The sequence below is a fragment of the Homo sapiens genome, chromosome 4 (genome assembly GCF_000001405.40).
Source record: "Homo sapiens chromosome 4, GRCh38.p14 Primary Assembly".
Lineage (NCBI taxonomy): Eukaryota > Metazoa > Chordata > Mammalia > Primates > Hominidae > Homo > Homo sapiens.
In genome coordinates this window covers 140,341,290-140,365,420 of record NC_000004.12, presented here as the reverse complement: position 1 = coordinate 140,365,420, position 24,131 = coordinate 140,341,290, and the positions used below count along the sequence as shown (strand labels likewise).

The 24,131-nt window shown below is 40.1% G+C and overlaps 1 protein-coding gene and 1 long non-coding RNA gene across 8 annotated transcripts in view; one reads left to right on the top strand and one right to left on the bottom strand.

Annotated features, from left to right (window-relative positions):
* Positions 1-24,131, bottom strand: part of SCOC (short coiled-coil protein) — a 128,421-nt gene that overhangs the window by 20,308 nt on the left and 83,982 nt on the right. For 4 of the 7 annotated variants that reach the window (XM_047416067.1, XM_047416068.1, NM_001153585.1 and 1 more), the window contains exon 1: positions 21,713-21,960. Coding sequence is in view for 5 of the 7 variants with exons in the window: in NM_001153585.1 (NP_001147057.1) it covers positions 21,713-21,782 (70 nt within the window). In the remaining 2 variants the exon portion in view is untranslated. Of the gene's footprint in view, positions 1-21,712; positions 21,979-24,131 lie in introns of those variants that run through there. The other 3 variants (NM_001153446.1, NM_001153635.1, NM_032547.3) reach the window with 2 other exon arrangements.
* Positions 1-24,131, top strand: part of SCOC-AS1 (SCOC antisense RNA 1) — an 89,667-nt gene that overhangs the window by 7,972 nt on the left and 57,564 nt on the right. The window lies entirely within an intron of this gene.

The following is a 24,131-nucleotide window of genomic DNA, read 5'->3' as shown; positions in this document are numbered from 1 at the left end:
TTCTTTTTGTCCAAGAAGTCAAAAGCAGTCTTGAATAACTGGAACCCTTCTGCCAGATTGTCTAATGTCAATTTTTCTGGCACTGCCTCTTCTATGTCTTCTTTCTCATCATGTGGCACTGGTTTGAAAGCACCAATCTCCACCATGTCTTCTTCTGTTAATTCCTCTGCTGTGGTATCTGTTAGCTCTTACATTTCTCCAAGATCCAGATCTTGAAACCCTTCACTTTTCACTTTTTTTTTTTTTTTGCCATATCCATATCTTTCATGATTTCTTTGATTGGCTCTGTGGTAAATCCTGTGAAGTCATGCACAATATCTGGATAGTTTTCTTCAGCAGGAATTTATTATTTCAATCTTGATGACCTTCACAACTTTTTTTTATAACAACGATGACATCTTCAATGGTGTAATCATTCCAGACTGTCATGATGCTCTCTCTATCAGAATTCTCTTCCATGGCATTGACAGTCCTTTCCATTGAGTACCCTGTGTAATAAGGCTTAAGGGTTCTTAAGAGCCAAGGATCTAGAAGCTGAATTAAAGACATTGTGTTTGGGGGCAAGTAGACCACATTGACAGCTTCAGTTTTGACCTCATGGGGTTCTGGGTGGCCAGAGGCACTGTCCAATATCAGAAAAAAATTTAAAGGTAGTCCCTATGGGCAAGGTAATTCCTGACTTCAGGGACAAAGCATTGATGGAAACAATCCAGAAAAAGGGTTCTCATTGTCTGGGCCTTCTTGTTGTACAGCCATTAAGACTGGCAGCTGATGTTTTTCTTTTCCCTTCAAGGCTCAGGGATGAGCAGCTTTATAGATAAGGGCAGTCCTGATCATAACCCCCCTGCATTTGCACAAAACAGTATAGGTAGCCTATCCCTTCCTGCCTTAAATCCTGGTGCTCACTTCTCTTCCTTACTAATAAATGTCCTTTGTGGATTTTTTTTCCAGAATAGGGCACTTTGATCTGCATTAGAAACCTGTTCAGGCAGATATTCTGTCTCCTCAATGATTTTCTTAATGGCATCTGGAAACTTGTCTGCTGTCTCTTGATTGGCAGAAGCTTCTTCTTTAATTATCTTGACATTTTTAAAGCCAAACCTCTTCCTAAAATTATTAAGCCATCCTTTGCCAGCATTAAATTCTTCAGGTTTACATCCTTCGCCTTCCTTTTGCTCTAAGTTGTCATATAATGACTTCGCTTTTTCTCAAATCACATCACAGTAGGTATGCCTTTCTTATAGCAATCCTGCATTCCCACAGAAAAACTGCATTTTCAATACTAGATAAAAAGGTATTTTGCAAAAAGTGTAAGTTTTTCATGCTTGCTGGTGTAGCTGCAGTGATAGCTTCATGAATTTCCTTTTCTTTTTTTACAATCTTTCTTAAGCTGAATTCATTTATCTTGAAACGGTGGGCAACCACAGCTGCAGACTTCAATCTGCAATACATATCAAGCAATTCAACTTTGTCTTGTAATGTCATGAATTTTCTCTGCTTCTTGGGAGCACTTCCAGCATCACTAGTGGCACTTTGTATGGGTGCCATGGTGTTATTCAAGGTTTACAGTATTGCACTAAACACAATGAAAAAACACTAGAGAACCACAAGAGATTACTTTTTACTGCTATAGGCAATTTACCAGAGAGATGAACTGCTCACACAGAGATAATTAGCATCCCATGGCATTTTAAGTGGATACTCACAGCACTTAAGCTCACAGCAATAGCAGCAGGAAGTGGCTGTGAAATTATGATGGTAGTACAGTATGTACTACAGTTAATTTTATGCACTTATGGTTTAATACAGCATCTGTACATTTGTTTACATTTCTCTCAACTGCAAATGGTGCCATGTGTGCTCTGTAAGCATGTGCATAAGTTTTGATAAATTGTAACTTTTTATAATAGATTTGTGATATTTTATGGTAATAGTAACACAGACTAGTATCTACATATGTTTATGCATTTGTGACATACCTAATTTTTTATATATTTCTAGGCTATGAAGTTTGTGAATTTTTCCAAATTGTCACAATCTCCAAAAAATTTTCCATTATATTTACTGAAAAAAATGCATACAAGTGGACTCATGCAGTTCAAACCCATGGTGTTCAAAGGTCAGCTGCACTTACAAGCTAACGATTGCCTGTTTCATGAATGCTGGCGGAAGACATGAGATGTCTGGGTCAGAGTCTAAGGACTCTCTTACTCCCAGCTCATCATGAGCTTCATGCTGATTTGTTGCTGTTACCTATGTCCCCCAAGTCCCACAGGGATGAGGCAGAGGGCCCCTGTAGATGCCTATACATGCAGCGGGTTATAATATAGGAGAGGAACATTGAGTTTGGGGAATCTTTGGCTTTTATGGCAAGTGGAAGCAAGCTTGCTCTTTAACCAGAGAGGCATTACCTCATCCCTTAAAGTTGCTCTCTGAAAACATACCTGAGTAAAGCCTGGGTTGACTGTATTCTTGGCATACCAGCAAGAATATGCAATGACACTCAGGGCCCATCCCAGTTTGCTTCTCCCAAAAACCTCTAAATTGAATGATCTTTAGTTCTGTGTCAAACTCCTGTTTTTCTTCCTCCTTCCTTATATAGTATCCTAAGGGAAATACCACAAAATGTCTCAGAAAATGTTGGTTGGATATCTAAAGTTTAAAAAGGAAGAGAACCACACCAGCTGGAGATTAAAGAAGCATCAGTAGAAGTCAGTGGCCATTAATAGAAATATTTTTAAAATAAGTCAAGTAGTATTTTTGTAGCTCCCTCCCTAACCTTTCTTTTCCACTATTTGACCAAACCCTACAACAATAAGAAGTAACAGCTGGGCACAGTGGCTCACGCCTGTAATCCCAGCACTTTTGGTGGCTGAGGTGAGCAGATCACTTGAGGTCAGGAGTTCCAGACCAACTTGGCCAATATAGTGAAACCCTGTCTGTAATAAAAATACAAAAATTAGCCGGGCATGGTGGCTTGGCCTGTAGTCTCAGCTACTTGGGAGGCTGAGGCAGGAGAATCGCTTGAACCCAGGAGGTGGAGGTTGCAGTGAGCCAAGATCACACTACTGCACTCCAGCCTGGGCAGCAGAGCGAGACTCTCACAAAAAAAAAAAAAAAAGAAGAAGAAGAAGAAGAAGAAGTAAGGACACACCTGTCTTTAGCCGGTCTTTAGTTTGTTTTAAAACAATTGCTTAAAATTAGTAATTACCAGGATAGTTAGTAACACTCATCGCAGTGAAGCAAATCATGCCCAGTGTGAAGCAAAGATATGGCCAGGCTCTCTCTTTCCTTCTTCAGTGAAGGCAGAAAACTAAAGAAAGCCTTGCTACTAAGGGATAGGGGCTGTGTCTGTGTCGTGCTCAGAATCACTCTCAGTGTCTGCTCTAAAGGCTGATGACAACCAATTTAAATCAAGTTCAAGTCCCCTTCAGCCTTAGAAGAAATAGCTCCTCAAGTTATTGAAAGAGCCCAGAATTCCTTGCAACTCATTCTTTATTATAGAATTATGAGTTCTAGAGTTTGTAGATTTTCTTTTTGTACTACATGAAGCGCATTACAAGAAAGTATCTTGTAGCTTTCATTTTGGGAGAAAATAGATGTAGTCCTCAGAGGTATTCTGAATCCATTCTTGTCACTCACAGAAGTTTCTTCACAGGAGATCTCCATGACTCTTTACGTTTCAAGGTATTAATTTTACTTGGAGCATTGTTTGTCCCACCCAAAGAGTTTTACGTTAAAATACATTATTTTATTTATTTAGAGAGAGGATCTCACTTTGTCACCAAGGCTGGAGTGCAGTGGCACAGTCATGGCTCACTGCAGCCTCAACTTCCTGGGCTCAAGTGATTCTCTTGCCTCAGCCTCTCAAATAGCTGGGACTACAGGCACAGAACCATGCCTCGCTAATCTTATTTCTTGTAGAGATGAGGTCTCATTATATTGCCCAGGCTGGTCTCAAACTCCTGGGCTCAAGTGATCCTCCCACCCTGGCCTTCCAAAATGTTGAGATCACAAGTGTGAGCCACTGCGCTGGCCTAAAATACAGTTTAATAGAGTTTTTCCTAACAAGCACCATTGGCCGCAACTGAAGTCAGCATTTTAACATTGTCACGTGACAGTCAGTTCTAGCTTTGATATAAAAGTCCTAAAGTGTACTCTTAGCATCACTTTCCAGAAAAAAAAAAAAAAACCCACTGCCGTGCTGCAAGGGACCATTGACAGAAATGGTGATTACAGTGCCTGTCCCTACAGGTCTGTCAGCAAGATAAAATAAGAAAATCTGAGAGAAGTTGCCTGGCATGGTGTCAGTACTCTTGGCATACCAGCAAAAATATGTAGCGAAACTCAGGGCCCATCCCAGCCTGCTTCTCCCAAAAACCTCTAAATGGAATAATCTTTAGTTCTGTGTCAAATTCCTATTTTTCTTCCTCCTTCTTTATACAGTATCTTAAGGGAAATACTACAAAATGTCGCAGAAGGTGCTGGATGGATATCTAAAGTTCAAAAAGGAAGAGAACCACACGAGCTGGAGATTCAGGAAGCATCAGTAGAAGTCAATGGCCATTAATAAAAACATTTTTTATTAAAATATTGAATCTGAATAGAAACCTCCTGTACTTCATTTCTTAAATCCCTTGAGGGTAGTAACTGCATCTTCTCCATTGATATAGCCCCTGCCAAGCACAGTGCCTGAAGGCAGGTCCACAGACATTGGCTGAATAAACGAGTGCTCTGTTCCCAGTCCGTACTTTCTCTGTGTCATAAAAAAGCTGACATGTCTGTGCTGCATTTGAGGATGACACTGGATTTCCACATTGCCTTTTCGCCTCAGAGCTTATATTACTTCCTATCAAGTTATCTCTCTGCCCCTCATCGCATCCCAGTGAGAAAGCAGAAAATCCTAGAAAGTCATTTTCCTTACTGTTCCGGTGGTGGCTCTTCACGCTTACAGAACGTTAGGTACACTGGGAACATCACCTAGAGGGACACTGACATCACCTCATCATAACATATGTCTCTGACAACTGTCAGGAGATATTCCAAGTAAATGAAAAGACACCGTGAATGCCACTTAGGGGTTCTACACAGGGAACTATTAGTGACAAAAGCCTATTTATTCTCTTTGAGATGGTATGCTGGTGACCTCTAGTGGCAAAATTGGTTCAAAATCAGCTTCTATTTCCCACAAAATTTACTTCTTTATTAATTCATACTTTAATTTTATCCTTTAGTAACATTCTCTACTTGTGGAATGTTCTTAATTATGCACAATGATTTGTGTCTGTTCATATCCAAGTAGCACAATTTTGGCATTTCACGAAATCACAGAACTGTTGAGCTGAAATAGTTCTCAAGGGACCTGTCAGTCTTATTTCATTATACCTGGAAAATGAGACCCAGAGGAGTCAAGTGGCTTGCCTGAAGCCTCACCACAAGGGGGCGACAAAAAGTCTTCTGACTCTAGCACACTGCCTGCCTGGTAGTAGAACCCAAGCGACTAAAGAAAAAATGGGATCTTGTTTAGAGTTCCATGCGGAGGAAGAGCATGTATGCTGTCCTATCCCTCACTATTGTATCCTGGGTGTGTGAGGAGCCTTTAATTCACAGGTCTTTAGAGAGAGTACAAAGCATCTGAAGGACCATCCCTGAGGAGCCTCACTCATATCTGCATGGGCATCTTTAGATCCCACGTCTCCAGCCTGAGTCTGATGTCATATTGAATGAGACTTCTGGGGCGTCTTGAGAGAGTAAATGTATTTTGCATTTGGAAGGATGTAAATTTAGAAGGATATAAATAATCTGTGTCCAGAGGACCAGCTGTGGTGATTTTTTAAATGGTCACAAATCCCTTGACATGCCCTCACAGACATCCTCTCCTACGTTCCTTCCCCTTGAAGCTGAACAGGCTTGGGACTGCTTCCACCCAGAGAGTGTAATGGAAGTGACGCTGTGTGACTTCTAAGAATCAATCATAAAAAGTACACACAACCTTCCTTGTTGGTCTTAGAACATTTACTCTAGGGAAAACTAGCCACCAAGAAGAAATACAATTCCCCCCAAACCACTATACTGAAGAGACCATATGTAGGTGCTCAAAATGACAGCTCCAGCTCAGCTCCCAGCCAGCAGCCAGCTTCCACCGTGGCTGTGTGAGTGAGCCACCTTGGATACACAGCCTGTCTAACTTCAGATGACCGCAGCCCCCACCCACATCTGACTGTAGCTGCAGGAGAGACCCCTAAGGGAGAACTGCTCAGCTAAGCCCTTCCTGAATCACTCAGCCACAAAATAGTGAGCAAAATGAAACGCTGTCGCTCTACAACACAAACTTGTGGGTAAATTGTTACACAGCCATAATATACAGAACAAATAGTTTCTTAAAGACATTTCTCTCATTCTGTAACAAACACTGAATGAAAATGCAAAATATGTTATATACATGTTAAATCCTGGTGGAATTGCACTTAATCTGTTCAACTTTCATAAATCAAAGAGTTCTTGGTCCAAATGAATAGGTATTCTAGGTGACAGAAATATAAGTTCTTCCTCTTTCTTGAAATGGTGATTCCATTTAATAGAATGGTGATTAAAATGGAATGGTGATTCTATTTTAAGAAGGCTAAGTAAATTTTATGCAGTTTTCCAAAGGGAATTTTCTATTTCAGAATCCTAGCCTTTCTCAACCAGGTTTCCCCAAATGAACCACAAAACACAGAAAAGGATTTGAGTGACTACTTTCTGAATTCTCCCAAGGGTGTTGTATAACTAGTACCTTTCTAGATGCAATGAAAGAATTTAATTCAATGCATACAATGAACACCTTAGGAAGGCTTAGTTCCCTCTCAGAACCCAGGCTGAGAAGGCTGGCAGGCACTATAGGCTAACTCAGCCATACAGTAGCCTTATCAACAGGAAACTGAAGTTTAGAGAGGTTAAATAATTTGCCCAATGTTACCACAGCTAGCTGAGCAAGGATTTGATTGCAGGGACTTCAACTCTAGAGCTTGGAAACTTAGTCATTACTCAGTGTTTCTAAGAAAAATACTCCATAAATGGGTAATAAACAAGGGAAATGTTAGCTCTTAGCAGCAATGTTTGTATGTGAACAGTTAATGGACTTAGCAGCAATGATCGTAACTATCTGGTAATGCAAATTACAAGTGCGTAAACTCAAAGTTATCTGAGCCAAAGATTTCTTTTTCCTTTTACTTAAAATAATAAAGGTAAAACTTTTTAAAAAAGTATTCAACTCAGGTGTTGCTTTATCTCCAAACCTGTAAGCCATCAATACAATAGGGAGTGTGAATCAGGGGAAGGACAGAAGAGTGGAGTGCAAAGGTCAGGCCCTGAGACCAGGGCGAGAAAGCAAAGGGATTAGGAGTGCATAGGCGTTAGAGAGAGAGAAAGGAAGGGAAGGAAGACAGAACACAGCAATGGAAAGGAGACATACACCACAGAAAGCACTCAAGAGAGGATCAGAGGCAAGATTACAACAAAGGACACAGTGGATAAAACATTTGTTGAGGGAATGAGGAAAAGGGGAGAAAGAGAAGATGTGGGGTATAACGAATTAAAGATGCTACTATTCGTCATTCTTTATTAGAATGACGAAAATAATACCAACTACGATGGGTTAGGAAAAGTAGTATAGTGAGATGGCAAAGGCAGCTCTGATCTGTCTCACCATTTTGACAAAGTGGCATATCTGATATGTAGAATTTAAGGTCATAATCCTAATGTGAGTCCTGGCTTTGAGATCCAAGTGAAAATACCAATGTTTGGTTTATAAACACCTTATCTCCTTAGGGAAATTAAGGTTAACAACTTCAGGAGCCCAGCCACATGGCAATAGGAACATGCATTGTCTACACCCACTTCCATCCAGTGGCATTCACTGCAGGAGGTGCCAGGCTGAGAGTCAAATCAGATACACGGAACTGACAGCTGGGTATGTAATGGGTGAATGGATAAAGGAATATTCCACTTTTCCTTGTTGAATGCCCTTCCCTATCTCTACTGGTGAAAAATTTGAAGACAAATTTACTGGAGAAGAAATGAAGTGAATATAAGTGTAAATTTGAATAATTCAAGGCAGTAGGAATAGAATCTCTGTACACCTGATTACCATATATAAAAGATTTTAAGGCTGGGTGCAGTGGCTCACACCCGTAATCCCAGCACTTTGGGAGGCTGAGGCAGGCAGACCACTTGAGGTCAGGAGTTCGAGACCAGCCTGGTCAACATGGTGAAACCCTGTCTCTACTAAAAAAAAGTACAAAAATTAGCCAGGTTTGGAGGCAGGCTCCTGTAGTCTCAGCTACTCCAGAGGCTGAGGCAGGAAAATCGCTTGAACCTGGGAGGCGAAGGTTGCAGTGAGCCGAGATTGCACCACTGCACTCCAGCTTGGGCAACAGAGCGAGACCCTGTCTCTAAATAAATGAACAAATAAATAAATAAAAGATTTTAAGGTACTATGTATCTCTTCCTTTTATCCTTCTCTAAGGATATACTGAGGATTATAACTCACTTAATAAATTGGGAAAAAGTAAATCTATTCTGATATAAATAAATAAATAGTTTGATGTGAAATGAAATATTTATATAGTCTCAAAATATCTCCCTCTAAAATACGTGCTAATTACTGAAGGAAAAATGAGTCAGACACCACCCGTAATCAAGAGCTCAAAGTTAACCTCACTGGTAAAGGGAACATAGAAATTATATACCACCTGACAGTATGCAATGAGAAGAACACAGTATCATTCTGCTATATTCTTGCCAAACTTATTGATCATGAGGAAACATCAGAAAACACAAACTGAGAACCATTTTACACAATGACTGCTCTATAATCTTTTAAAGTTATGAAAGTCAAGTAAAGATGGAGGAACTGTTCCAGATTGAAGGAGATGAAGGTGACATGACAGCTACATGCAACATATGATTTTAAAATGATACTTTTTGTAAAGGATATTATCAAGACAACTGGTGAAGCTTCAGTGGGCTTTGAAGATTGGGTGAGAGTGATGTAGGGATGCCATTTTCCTGATGTTATTGGTTGTGTTGTGGTTACGAAGGAGAAAGTCTTCGTTTGTAAGAAATATACACTAATGTATCCAGGAGTGATAGAGCACAGGCAACTTTCAAATAACTTAGGAACAAAACAGAATCTTCTTTAAGTTACTTGAAAATTTTCTATAGTTTGAGATTATTTCAAAATAAGGGATAAAATGCAAAAGACATGACTGTGCTGAAGGGTGTCGTTTACAATTTGTGCCGTGTCTCCTTTACTCTCCACCCTCCATGCCTTGAATATCCTGTAGCTAAATTTGCCACTTTCTCCATTTTATTTTTCCTAAACAACTTTTCACATGTATCACCATAGTGGTGTTGCGACAGATGTCCATAATCCAACCACTGATATTTTCACATGCTTCTGAAAATTATCACCCATGTTAGGATTAATACCTTAGTTCTATATATTAGAAAAACTCTAGTATTAATCTCATTTTTTATGAAAAAAATTGCATAAATATAACATGAAAATCTAATAACCTGTAATCCCTTCACACTAATACATACATTTTTCCGAGTTCCCTTCGCATTCTAGTCCATATATATAAATTACTTTTGCATGGTTGTAATCGCAACATAGATACAATTTTATATTCTATCTTTCATGTCTGAGCATATTCCAATATTGGTAGAGAGCCTCTGGGCTCTTCTTGCCCTCTGATTCTATGATTACATTTTTGAAACAATGACCTCATAACATAACTAGAGGACCATATTTCATTATTCAGTACCTGCAATGCAGGCACCTTATTGCTTCTACCTAGTCAGTACAATGCAGAAATGCTATCTATCTACTAATTTCAATTCTGATGCATTGTCATTTGACAGAGGCTTTGAAGTCACCTAGACCTGGGCTTGAATCCCAGCTCTGCATTGTGCAATGTACTAAACCTTTCCAAGCCCAGTTTTCAATCTGAAAAACAGGGATAATATCAATAGCATGATATTTGTGTGGACTGAGATAATGCATATAAATTTCTTAGCACAGTGCCTGGCATATAATACGTTTTTAATGAATGCTTATTATCATTATGCACCTAAGAGACTGTATTAGTCAGGGTATCATTGTTCTATAACATTGTTTTATATACATTATATATATATATATATATATATATATATATATATATAAAAATATAATGTATAGGCTGAGAAGTTGGGCCAGTCTCACCTTCTTACATTTTTCTGCCTGCTTTATATTCGCTGGCAGCTGATTAGATTGTGACCACCAGATTAAGGGTGGGTCTGGTTTCCCAGCCCACTGACTCAAATATTAATCTCCTTTGGCAACATCCTCACAGACACACCCAGGATCAATATTTAGCATCCTTCAGTCCAACCAAGTTGACAGTGTTAACCGTCACAGAGACACATGACTAGTTAGTAAAGTGTGGGGTTACTCCAAACATTTGAGACTCTTAGTTTTATTTGTGATGAGTGATGACGGGTTGCTTTTTAGATAGAAATAAATACCCAAATAGTTAACTAGGATTTCCAAAGAAACCAACTGATTTTCTAATTGTCACCAGAATTGAGAATCTACAGGAAAACTAGAATGACATTTGATTAATCATTTTTTCCAACTCCTGCATTAATCTTCCTCCCTCAAAAAGGTTTAAAAAAAAAAACCCTTAAGGATATAATCATTAGAACATGCAGTTTGCTTTTTAAAAATAATCAATTAGTTACGAATTTGTCGAATTCCTTTCACAGTCAAATGATTACACGTTACCTAAAAAGCATAAATGTCCCAACCTACAAAATGGACAAATAGAGGAGTTACTGTTTGTGTTGGTAAAAAATATCCTGCAAAAAAAAAAAAAAAAAAAAAAAGTTCTTTGAGAAATTCCTTGAAATGTAGGCTCTCCCAGGGCAATTGTATGTGGACGATCACTAAATATTTCACAGAGAGACACTGGCTGAGAAATGTAGCGGTTAGGGGTCAACAGTCACTGTAAACTGAAGAGTCTCTCAAATTATAACATTTTATTACAGAAATTCCATTTTTACAGTATGGCAAAGGGCTCAAAGCAGAAGGGACAGGAATCCACTGTGTCAGATGAGAAACACTGTGACAGCACAAAGCTCAAGTCATTTAAAATTCCAAAGTAAAAAAGAATGATAAGAAACATTGTTAAAAAAAAAATCTTCTAAACATTTTTATAAAGGAAGCTAACCTCCTAACCACAAATGAAGATGAAAGCAAAATATTCACACGGAGGAACAAACAATAGTAGAGCCTTTTGTCTGCTAAGAAAAGGTAGTAAAGATTTTCAAGAGGGATAAGAAAAGAAGAATGTGTTTTAAAATACAAGCTTTTCAAACAACTTTTACTAACGTCACACTACGAGCAATGAAAACCACGCATGTGCGCAGGCAAGTGCTCTGAGCCAAAGTCATTAAGCTGACAATGAAACATGTGTATGGAGAAAGAAGGGAACAATGATTAAATGGGGAAGAAAGTGAGTAAGGGCTGAAAAGAGCCTGCTGTTGACTGTGTGCATCCCAAGAAGGCTGGTGGAGGGAAGACCCAGGTCACTGTAACAGAAAGGCGGCAAGAGAGGCTCACTGTTCTTCCAGACCATTCATGTGAGCTACCACTGAGTCTTTTGTGTTCCCAATGTTGAGGACTGAAAATGAATACTAGGCCGGCATGGTGGCTCACGCCTGTAATCGCAGCACTTTGGGAGGCCAAGGCGGGCAGATCATGAGGTCAAGAGATCGAGACCTGGTGAAACCCTGTCTCTACTAAAAATACAAAAAAATTAGCCGGGCGTGGTGGCGTGCACCCATAATCCCAGCTACTCAGGAGGATGAGGCAGGAGAATCGCTTGAACGCGGGAGGCAGAGGTTGCAGTGAGTCAAGATCATGCCACTGCACTCCAGCCTGGCGACAGAGAGAGACTTCGTCTCAAAAAAAAAAAAAAAAGAAAAAGAAAAAAAGAAAATGAATACTAACGCCTATCTAGGAAAGCAAAACACCTCTTTCTGGAGCAGTTTTTACAATAACTTTGATTCTGTGATTGGTGGATATATTGTTTCAGCAGTGTCACTTATAAAGCTTTTGGATCATTTAAAATGTTTATTTCTAGGCTCGTGGAGCCCAATAGAAGCTGATTCATCTGGTTTGTCCTGTTCTTTTGGGGCCCGTGTCCTCCTTCTCTCTGTACCCAGACTATCTTTGAAGGCCAAAGGAACCCTTAAGTTCTCTAAGGAAACCAGGCTTTGACCCTGAAATTCTGAACAAGTCAAGCAGGCAGGAAGCCTGTGAGGGAAAGTGTGTCCAAAGCTGCTCCCATCCAACTGGAGCCTTTGTGAAATGAAGGGCCCTGTGTCAGCCCCTCTTCAGGAATGCAGACTTGAGACAGGTCAGCATCTTATTAGCTCATGAGCTCAGGTAAATAAAATTCACCCCTGATTTTCAGGATCTCCTCTGGATTTCTCCCTGGAAAAAATTCACCATAACTATGAAGGATTTTGTACAAATTTAACATGAGAAAATTCTAATGCCCCCCTCCCTTTTTTTGTGCTTATTCTAATGACGTAGAAAAAACATATAGGCAACCAATGGATGTTTTTTGTCTTTGAAAGGAAGAGTCAAAATATTACGACTTATCCTTTGCTGAGAAAATTAGAGAACACTCTCGATTACTGAAAACATTAGATACTGCGCTAACATGCCATTTCTTAAGCTTGTTTACTGAAACTAGTTTTTGCTTTATGCTAGATCATTTATTTCAGTTAAGTGGATTTCTTCTGATTGAAGATTTCTCTGCAGAAAGAGCACTTACAATTTCTAGCAATACACTGGTGACCCTAGAGCCATACCACTCCCAGAAGCTGCTGAGAAGCAGAGTTAATCTCCTTTTTCTTATTGAATCTCTTATGCTAAGTCTCTAAGGCATTTTGCTGGGCCAGGGGAGGTATTCCTAATGCCACTGTCCATATTATCTTTAGCTTACAGGAACAGATATTTTACTCTGCCAATGGCATTATCCATACTTATATGGATCCCAAATGCCAATTAAGATTTGCTGAAACTTTTTGCCATTGCTGGTGCAATTAACATACTTGTTTGATTTCACTAAAAACAACATTTCCAACATACTAGAGATGATCTTTTTCAATACCCTTAAGGATATGGGAATAATCTTTTAAATTAGTATTCATAGCCAAATTCATTGGAGGGTGTAAAGAGAAATGGCACTGGTGGCAGGGGGTTCTCTAGTCCTGACCAGAACACGCTCAGCCAGCGCTCGCCACTTCCTTGTGTACTTATTTAACCATGTCCCCACTCTGGGACTCTCATCTGCGCAGTTGTCTCCCAAGATGTCCAGTGTAACCCAGCAAAGCTGGCAATGGCCGCTTGGCAGACACTTGGGAGCATGGCGCTGGCTGCAAACACTGGCTCCATTCATATCAGAAAAGAAAGGCCTGCTCCCTTTTCACCGACAAGACTCCTGCTATGGCTCAGTGTTCTCTCAGCTGGGGAGCCACAAGTCTATTTCCTTCTTTAGCCCATATTATAATGGAGGATGAGATGAAAAGGAATACAGACCCTTGATACCTTTTACTTAGAGTGCTAACTAATGCAGGGCCTCGTGTCTGATCTTCTGCTTGGCTGAGGGGACGGCAGATGGCCTTCTGAAAGCTTTTCAAACCCGGGCTGCTTTCAGCAGGGCGTGAGGGGGTATTGTTACATTTTCCATATAGTGGTAGGAAGCATCACTGAATAAAAGCACACAACAATTGTGCCACTTCTCTGGGAAGCATATTACAACCTTACAATGAGGGCTAATTGGCCGACACCAAAAGCAGACGCAGACGCAGCTTTGAATATTATTCAGGAGAGGTTTTAGAGAGCAGAGTCAGGACGGAGGCTGAGGCATAAAGGAGAGGAGCGATGGGAAGGACATCGACGGGGAGGCGGCGAGGGCCGGCATGAAGAGGGGAAAGAGTGGCTTCATTATATTCATCAGAAAAGAATCGTGCTCTTGTATAAAGAGTTCCTTCATATCCATCTCCCCTTCCTTATCAGGAGGACGTCAACAGGCAGTCCCAGCTTACAGCGCCATGTCCACAGGACACTGTCGTTACCATGAGAACTGATGTGGCCAAATCTCAGAGCCTTCTTCTTCTTTTTTTTTTTTTTTAGATAAAGTCTCGCTCTTGTTGCCCAGGCTGGAGTGCAATGGCGCGATCTCGGCTCACTGCAACCTCTACCTCCCGGGTTTAAGCGATTCCCCTGCCTCAGCCTCCCGAGTAGCTGGGATTACAGGCACCTGGCACCACGCTCAGCTAATTTTTTTTTTTTAAGTAGAGATGGGGTTTCTCTATGTTGGCCAGGCTGGTCTCAAACTCCTGACCTCAGGCGATCTGCCGGCCTCAGCCTCCCAAAGTGCTGGGATTACAGGTGTGAGCCACTGTTCCTGGCCCAGATCTCAGAGCCTTTTAGGAAACTTTTATGTGAGCTCCTTGAAGTGGGCAACAGAGGAAGGAAAATGTACCAAGCACTCACTTTATGCCAGGCTAGTTCAAGACACCATCTTTATTATTTCATTTAATCTTCAAATCAATTCTGAGACTTACTCTTATGATCATTTTGCAGCTGAGGGAATGGAGGCTCAGGGATGGCAGATAGCTTGCACAAAGTCTAACAGATTCAAATCCAGGCATTTCTGACTTCAAAGTTCAAGCCCTTCCTGCCACACTCCCCTGTGCCAATTCTTCAAATAACCAGGTCCTGCCTACTACCTGGCATATGACAGTAGGTGCTCAATAAATGCGTTCTGAAAACAGAACTAAACTTACCCAGAAGTGTGGATAGAAAGAAGAGACAATAGAAAAGAAGTGTCTAAAAAGTAGAGACAATTTAGGAAAACCAACCCTAGGAGTCAACTCTCAGCTAGGGGCTGGCCTGCCTAAACTGGCACTTATCCCAACACACACAAATTCTATCAGAATTCTTTAATCAAAAGATGTTAAGCCATTCAACTTGTGCTGGATGCTGGGAATACAGATATTTGAAAACCCAGGCTGTGTTTTAGAAGCTCGCAGTCTATTGAATAGTCTGTTCATATACTATGAAAAAAAATGCAGACAGAGATAAGTTAGGGGTTCTTAGAAAGGAGAAAGGAAATCTAACACAGCCTGGGAAGATCAGGGAAAGCTTCCTGAAGGTGGCATTGCCTGAATGGGGTCTGAAAGGGTGAGTAGGAATTGACCAGACAAAAAGAAAGGTGGGTAGTGTTATTCCAAAGTGAGAAGCAGCACAGCATGCAGAGGCATGAACTAGGCACTGTGTGGAGGGAACATTAAGGGTCTCCTACTGAGCTCAAATGGTGTGGCAGGAAATGACACTGAAAAGATAGGGAGAGCTGGGAAAAGGGAGACCTTCAATGCTATGCTAAGTGAATCGGACTTTATCCTTCAGGGGCTGTGAGGCATTGATTGTTCTCTACAGGCGGAGGTAGTGATGTGGCCACTGTGGAGGGTAGATTTGAAGGGATAAAATTTGAAATAAGATAAACCATTGGGAGGCAGGTGCTGTGGTTTGTGTTGGGGATAATAAGGACCTGGTGAGGGAGGTGGTGGCAGGGATGGAGAAGGCCAGATTTATTTGAGAAACATTTCCAAGGTCAAGTCAACAAGAATTGGTGATTGATCAGATTGTGAGAAAGAAGGAATGACATATGGATTTCTAGCTTTCGTAACTGTGTGGATGGTGGGGCCATTAATTAAAATTATGAATATAGGAGTGGGAATAGATTGGGGGGAGAAGGTAAGTTTATTTGACACCTGGGAGATATCTAGGCAAGCAATTGGATTATGAATCATAAACTCAGGAGAGAGGTGAAGACAAGATTTGAGAACAGAAGTCTGAAAATAGTTTCCTCTGCAGTCACATCTGTCCTGCAGATGTGCTTTGTTTGGATCTCTATGCTATTGTTTTTAAAACTAGGATTAGGTGAAAAACATGGAAAAACCAGGAAATTGTACAAAAAATTGAAATATTCAGTGTCTCTTAAAGTTTCCACTTATTTGCATTTCTGTCCCTCCATGACAATAGTTAACCAGAAGCAGAAAGCAGCTCTGCCTTTTGAGCCGGGCACATGCTCTCCAGGGAGCCTCAACCCTCAACCCTCCTGGCTGGACCCAAGGCTCAGTGTTGGTTGTCATTCTGTCATCACAATTGCTCTGTTGTTTTCTTACTGCAGAGTTAAGAGGAAAGTAAACTATGTTGTTCCCTTACTTCAGTCAAAAGTGGAAAATGCAAGAAAACAAATATCCCAATTTAAAAATGGGTAATGAGCCTAAATAGATGTTTCTCAAAAGAAGACATACAAATGGCCAATGGGTATATGAAAATGAGCTCAATACCACTAATCATCAGAGAAATGCAAATTAAAACCACCATGAGATAACATCTCCCAACTGTTAGGATGGCTATTATAAAAAAGATGAAAGATAAGAGTTGGCCAGGATGTGGAGAACAGGGAATCTTTGCACACTGTTAGTGGGAATGTACATTAGTACAGCTACTATAGAAAAGTGTGGAGGTTCCTCAAAACATTAAAACTGGAACTACCATATGATCCAGCACTCCCACTACTGGTATATATCCAAAGGACTTGAAATCAGAATATTGAAAATATATCTGCATGCTCGTATTCATTGCATCATAATTCACAATAGCCAAGATATGGAAACAACCTAAATGTCTGTCGACAGATGAATAAAGAAAATGTGATGTGTGTGTGTGTGCGTATATATATACATATATATACACACATATATATACATACATATACACACACTCACACACACACATACATATAGTGGAAGAATTCAGCCTTAAAAAAGAAGGAAATCTTGCCATTTGTAACAACATGGATGAACCTGGAAGACATTATGTTAGCCAGGCGCAGAAAGACAAATACTATGTGATCTCACTTGTATGTGGAATCTAAAAAAGTGGAACTCATAGAAGCAGACAGTACAATGATGATTATCAGAGGTTGGAGGGTGAGGATATTGCGGAGATGTTGGCCAAAGGATACAAAATTTCAATTCGACAAGATGAATAAATTTAAGAGATCTTTTGTACATCACGGCAACTATAGTTAAAAACAATATATTGTATACTTAAATATTTCAAAGAGAGTAGATTTTAAGTGTTCTCACCACTAAAAAAAATAACTATGTGAGGTAAATTATATGTTCATTAGCTTGATTTAGCTATTCCACTACATATATGTATATGTGGCCGTTCCACTACATTATATATATAATGTACACCATAAACCATAAACATATACAATTTTTATTTGTATTTAGTAAATAAGAAAAAAAGTAGAAAATGAAATCTAGTCCAAGAGGACTGTGTCTCCTAAGGAAAATGGTGAGAAATGAAGAATGTTCCCATAAATTTAACATGCAAACAAAGCATGTCCTTGAAAGAATTAACCTTGAGATGCCATTGTGAAATAAACCATAGTAAGAGTAATGTCTGGTATATGTAAAAGATGCATGATGAAAAACTTGATAAACTAAAAACAGAATTGAAATGTCAATAGCTTGTTTTAGAAAAGTAGGGGAAAAAAATTATGATATACCATTGCCCCTTTCCCACATACACATTGCCTGGCCCTGAAGGTGTTTGAATTTGCGATTTCTGTTTTAGAGTCGCTGGGATATAGCAACGGGCGGTGAGAATGGAACTAGGAGTAGATAGGATCATCCAGAGCGTGTGTCCAGAGAGAGAACAGTAGCCAAGGACAGAGTCTTAGGGAAACGCTGGAGGACACAGGTTCCCAAAAGAGCCTGAGATGAAAGATGAAAGAGGCTGAAGAGGAACCTGAGCCGTGCGGTGGCATCAAAGCCAGGGGAGTGGAAGCATAGGAAGGAAGGAGAGATCAATGCCGTCTAATGTCTTTTGTCCTGCACTGTATGGCTCCCACCTCTAAGGTCCCAGAAGTGGGGCCAGTTCAGCTACAGTACAGTTGAGACCATAGATTCCTAAACTATCTTAGTTTATGGTGCCCTTGGTGTCTCAGTAATTTTTTCACAGTACTCCAAAGCCAAGATAAACACCAAACAGTTCCATATATTAAGTGTTTAGATCCAAACATCTTATTAACATTGTTATGTCCAAAAAACCTAGTAGCCATTAAAAAAAATTACTGTACCTAAATTGAAAGAAAATATATTTTTATTTCATTCTTAAAGGAACGCACTTATTTATGGGATGTGTGCACCTGTTGGGCACTGCATAACTTCTCCAGCCTTCTCAAACTGCCGCCCTCATTATCTGTTCTACAATTGACTTTCATACAGAACTTGCTTTTTATCACAGCAATTGCAGAAAACCCAGGATTGAAAGAGATGATGTCATTGAAAGATACATAGTTCAATCTAGTGTGAAACAATGAGTGACCACCAGCCAGTAGTCCTTTCAGTGTCTGAGAGAGGTTGAGATGCCCTCATAGAACCCCTGTGAGTTTGCTGCAGTGCCCTGGAGCATCTTGGCACACAGTTTGGGAGCCATGTGGTTAGATGGCATGGACAGGTCTGGAATCCTATCATTTGTAATGTTTCTTTGGGGACATTTGTTCTGAATCCATACAACTCACGTACAAGTAAATTTATGAAGCACAACTGGCTTGTGACTTGAGTAACTACTGGCATTGCCCGTTCTCACTGCTCCATACTACCAGGAAGTAGAATTACTTAAATAAATAAAATTCAAAGTAAATGAAAGTTTGATTAATGCCTTCAATCCTTTCCTCAAACAAACCTTCTCAAGAGTTAGTAGAAACTTCCTTCTCCTTTCTCTCGCCTTCCTCTGAATAAGAAAAGAAGCAGTATAAGGGGGAGGCGATGGAGGTAAAAGGAGACAGCGATAGGTCTGACCAGTCACACAGGGATCAGTGCCGGGGACTCGAGGCCTTTCTATTCAGAATTAGAAACAAGTGGTCCTTGTGTGAGAGCCTCTGTATCCAGCAGCTTCCAATACCGCACTCGGCTGGCATCCAGTAGCCGATGTCTTTCTGGACAATCACCAAGGCCAACCCATTAGGGCCTATAATCCTTACAGTTTTTAGAGTTCCCTAAAAGGTGCAAGGCTTTCTCTGGTATCCAGCTCCAACAATCTACCAAAAAGCCCAGCATGAACAAACACCGCCACTGCCACTCAATATCCATGCAGAAACTGTAAGATGAGAAGGGTGCTCAGATGGAATGCCCGCAACCATAGGAGACTTGGATTGGGACTTTGGCTCTATCACTTCCTGGAGAGGCCTTAAGCAAGTTACTAAAAAAATATGAGCTACAGTTTTATCATCTGTAATGTAGGACCATAATATCATGATGATGTTGTAAAGATGAAATAAGATGTTAAAAGGACGTAGCATTGTATCTGGAATCCAGTAAATGTATTGAAACTATTGCATTTAATATTGACTCTATGAATTTATTGAACATAGGAGTTTGAGAAATGCTTCCTTTCTAGGTAGTCTGGCTCTGCCTCTAATTGGCTCTGTGCTCTTGGGCAAGGCATTTAGACTCTCTGGGCCTCCCTTACATATATATATGTATATGTACACATGTATGTGTACACATATGTATGCATATATGTATATTGTAAAAAGAAAAGTAAGAAATTGAACTAAACTTTCTTTTAATATAAGCATACCTTTTTAATGCTTTACTTTTGCAAGGATTCCACAATTTGAATGAATGATGTCTGCTAAACAAGCTCCATTTTTTTATAATAATTTGTTTTCCTATTTTTAGTTATCAAAGCCCAAGAACGTTTTATTAACAAAGATGAACCAGTGTTACCAGGTCAAATGAATAAAATTGTCTCCAAAAGCCAAAGAAACATGGTGTCTTTGTTAACTGGCACATTTTCATCACAAATATATGAACAATTTCCATTTACCATTTTGAAATATGGAAACAGCAGAAATTAATACTAGTTCCTGAGTCCACCACTGGTTATTATGCTGGACCAGCTCCAAAGGCCTTTTGTGCACTGAGATTTTGTGACTCAGTCTAACAAAGGAGAAGGAGGCGGCAATTGGGAGCAAGGGGACGTTGGTCCTCTCGTGTGGTTGCCGGCACTCTCACTACCAACCAGAGAGCGTTGCTCACTCTTTCCTAGTTCTTCAGCGCCCATGCCCACACGTCCAGGCTCCATTAGCAAGCAGCTCCTATGCAGCCCTTCTCAAAACCAGTGCCAACAGTGGACTGGACACCTGAACTTAAATTTCCTGCCCTCTTGCTCTTTCCTCCACTGGAAGTGTGAAAGTGGCAGAAGATGAGACGTGGAGGGGAGAGTTGAAGGGGTGTGATGAGGTGCGTCAGAGAGTCGCTGTAGAAAGGCCTGGCACCACCAACAGTCCCCACTTTCAGGCTCAGCCCATGCAGAAAAAAATTCTGGGCTGAGTCACATTCTAAGCAAGCAAGCTTTCTCTACGAACTGCATCCTCCCACAGCATATAGGGCTCCCCATGCGCATGCTCATCTCGCCTCCCGAAGCTAAGAAACATGGGTTTCCCCTGTCTTTGTTTCCTTCACTGCCTTCTGCAGCTCTGTCTGCTTTCTAAAACACCCTGGTGGGAGCATGTTAAGGACAGCGGTATCCCATTTCTTCAACAGCCCAGTACCTCGTACCTTTCCTCCCCTTATAAAGACTGAAAATACTCCTCTTTGATTTCCAAAGACCCCAGCATGTTTATGCAGTGCCAGGAGGGAAGCTTAGGTCTGGCTGGTGGTTTGTGTTAATTGTCTGGCTGCACTTTAGAAAGACGCTTTTTGAATCTAAGCATTTAGGGAGAAAGTGGAGAAGCGTGGCTGTATGAAAGAGCAATTGATGTTAAATATTCATGCTCTTGCTCTCTGTTAATCAAAATTAGTAACCCCCATTGCTTAGCTGCAGTCTTGCTGGCTTCATACTATGATTGCGCTAAAGGAACTTGGATAGAAAGCAACAACCACCACACGCACACACACCCCACACACACCCAAGGACTTGGGTGCTTGTAGGTTTGAAGTGTTTCCAGTTAACATTGTGCAATTCAGCACTGTCTATTTTTTCCAAGATGTTGAATGAACCATGGTTATCCTTTCCATCAGCATTTTAGAACTGCTCTCCCACTTGGTTCCTTCTCTCATGTTGAATTCAGCAAACTTTAGCCTTAAAAATCAGACATTTTCTGCAATAATCCTTAAAGCTAATTGCAGCATAGTCTAGTTCAGTTTTCAGTAATGATACAATTATTTTACAAGATAGAAAAGAAACTGACTATAATTGAACAAAATGTGGCGATATTATAGGTTGTTTTCGTAGCAACTTTGACATCATGTTTCCTGAACTTTTAGGAAATATTTTGTTTTTATTTATTTTAAAAAGTACATGTTATATAATGACAGCAACTTTAAAATTATCACTTAATTTAAAAGGAAAAAGAAAAACAGCTCTTAATTAAAACCTGTTTTTGTAACTATATTTTTTCAAGTTTTCTACAATGAGTATGCTTTATCATTATACTGAAAATAATAAAAGTTATATTTTTAAAAAACTGAGCTGTTGTTGAATGTATGTTTGAGAAGTTATCCATTTTTTCCTTACCTATGTCATCTGCAAGAGAAATGTTGGTGAATGTGCTGTCTTCCTCCTCCTCTTTCCTGGACCCGTCCATCTTGTTCAATTTTCAGACCTGTTAGTAAGAAAAATGAGGGCAGAGAAAAGCAGCAGTTGTCCCATGTGACCGCCCTTGTTAAATCATTAATCAGTGAACTTCCAAGCAGGTGCTATCTGATCCTTGCACTAGCCACCCTCTTCCTGCTTTCCACCTGAGAAGTTCTCACCTGAGTGTTGCATTCTTAACCGGAAGTGGTAGGAGACCCAAGTTAATGACTTACAACCCTTGACCGGAGGCTGCTGTGCTGGCACGGCTGCTGTACCCTGGCTAGATGCCAAACCCTGCCTTCAAGTTTCCTTAGGCTGAATTGCTCAAGGAAATTGTCCAAAAAGCGTAAGGATAAGGTTGGGGGAAGAAATTGACTTTATATGATTAACATATCTTTTAGATACCCACGGTAAACTTCTCAAGGATTTATCAATGACCAGAGCATGACCTGGGGGTAAGTCACAAACCCTCAGAGCCTCAATGTTCTATCTGTAATATGAGGATAAGTCTGTTGTGAGGATTAAATGGAAACTGCCTGGTACATGTATGAAGAAATAAGATTCATACATGTACATATATGCCATACATATATGCCATACATATATGTAGAAATATATGAAGAAATATTTGAAGAAATAAGAAGAAATATATATGAAGAAATAAGATACATGAAGAAATAAGATTATATATTGAGCTCATCAATACACTCTCATATTACTGTTCAGACACCTCATCCTGTAAAAGTTCATTGAAACAGCAAGGTCTCCCTTTTCTGTTTCTGGAGTTGAGCCCAAGAGGAGAGATGTTGGCTTCATTAGCCCTTAGGCAGGGACCCTTTGTTTGAGGAGGAAGTATTTCTTTACAACTATTTATCCAGGTGCCCTAGTTCACATTTGTATACAGACACAAAGCAAAACTATTTTAGAATTTCAAATAATCACTCCTTTGCGGAAAAAAATAGCCAAATTTGATGAAGCATTTTAAGCAGATATTAAAATTGTTACTACATGCTACATTCTGCACTGTGCTTTGATACATATAATATTTTTTTTATTCAGGCAAGTTCATTGTTACTATATCAAGCAGAATGGATGTGAGCTGTTGGAAATCCTGAATTTTAAAAATTAAATTCACTAGAATAGAATTCCCCCAATTTTTCAATTATATTCTGCAAATATTAAGTGCCTATTCTATACAAGCTGAGCACTTTGGAGGTTCAAAATAAAAGGTTTATTTATTTGCTATTAATAAGCTTATAAAAGTGTTCAAAAACAAGAATCCTGGAGGTTTACAGAAGGGAAAAAAATATATGCAGCTGACAGGACCCTGAAAGGCTTAGAGAAGGGGACATTTGAGATGCATGATCAATGAAAAGTGGGATTCAACAGGCAAAATTGGTCAGGTAGTGAGTGCTTTCTCAGTGAAGGAGTATGGGCAAAAGCTCAGAGACAGGAAGGTATTGGGCACATGCAGAAACCAAGAGTATGAGATACAGGTAAATAAGAGGTGGGAGATATGGTGGAAAATAGGATGTCATATCTAAGAGTGGTTTGAATGCTAGATTGTGTTAGTTCAAGTCCTCTAAGAATCAGACACCAAGATGGGATTAAAAAGATGAGATAAAATAGGGAGGGAGGCAGAAAGGTTGGAGGGACATTAGCCCATGATGCAAGTCTGACAAAGTGAAGTGAAGTGAAGACAAAGTGGAATGGAAGGTCCAGCTTGATCATCAGAATAAAGAAATTTTGACAAAGATGTCAAAGAATACTTGAGCCAAAGTTGACCATAAGAGGAGTCCCATGTCTCCCAGAAATGACCTCCCTTAGTTTTCACACAGCACTTAGTTACTGGCTGGGAGCAGCTGGCAGAAAGTGAGACCTCTGTACAAATGTAGTTATGGATTTCAGAGCACAGTAGCTGAGGTCCTTGATTAGTTACACTCCCTGTAGTTGGAGGTCTACAGGGTACAGGCTCAGGGCAACCACATGAGCTGCTTTTTCTAGCAACTCTGTATATAATCATGGACCAGTATTTTAGGAAGCATAAAAATTCCTCTCTTGGCTGATCCATTTTCTGTCAGTCCTAGAAATAATGACACACACTTTTAAAATGCCTACTATGTGCTAGGCAACAGTCCTACAGGTAGGCACTAATATTATTCCCATTTTAAAGATGAGGGAGCTGAGGCATGTAGAGAGTTTAAAAAGTGACAGAATGTTATGCAGCTAAGCAAGTGGTGGAGCTAAGATTGGACTTCTTGCCCTCTGGCTGTAGGGTCTGTGCTCTTAACCATTCTATTATCTACTCATAATAAAATTATCATGTGAGGGAGGGCATGCAAGAGAAGAGTTAATTGAC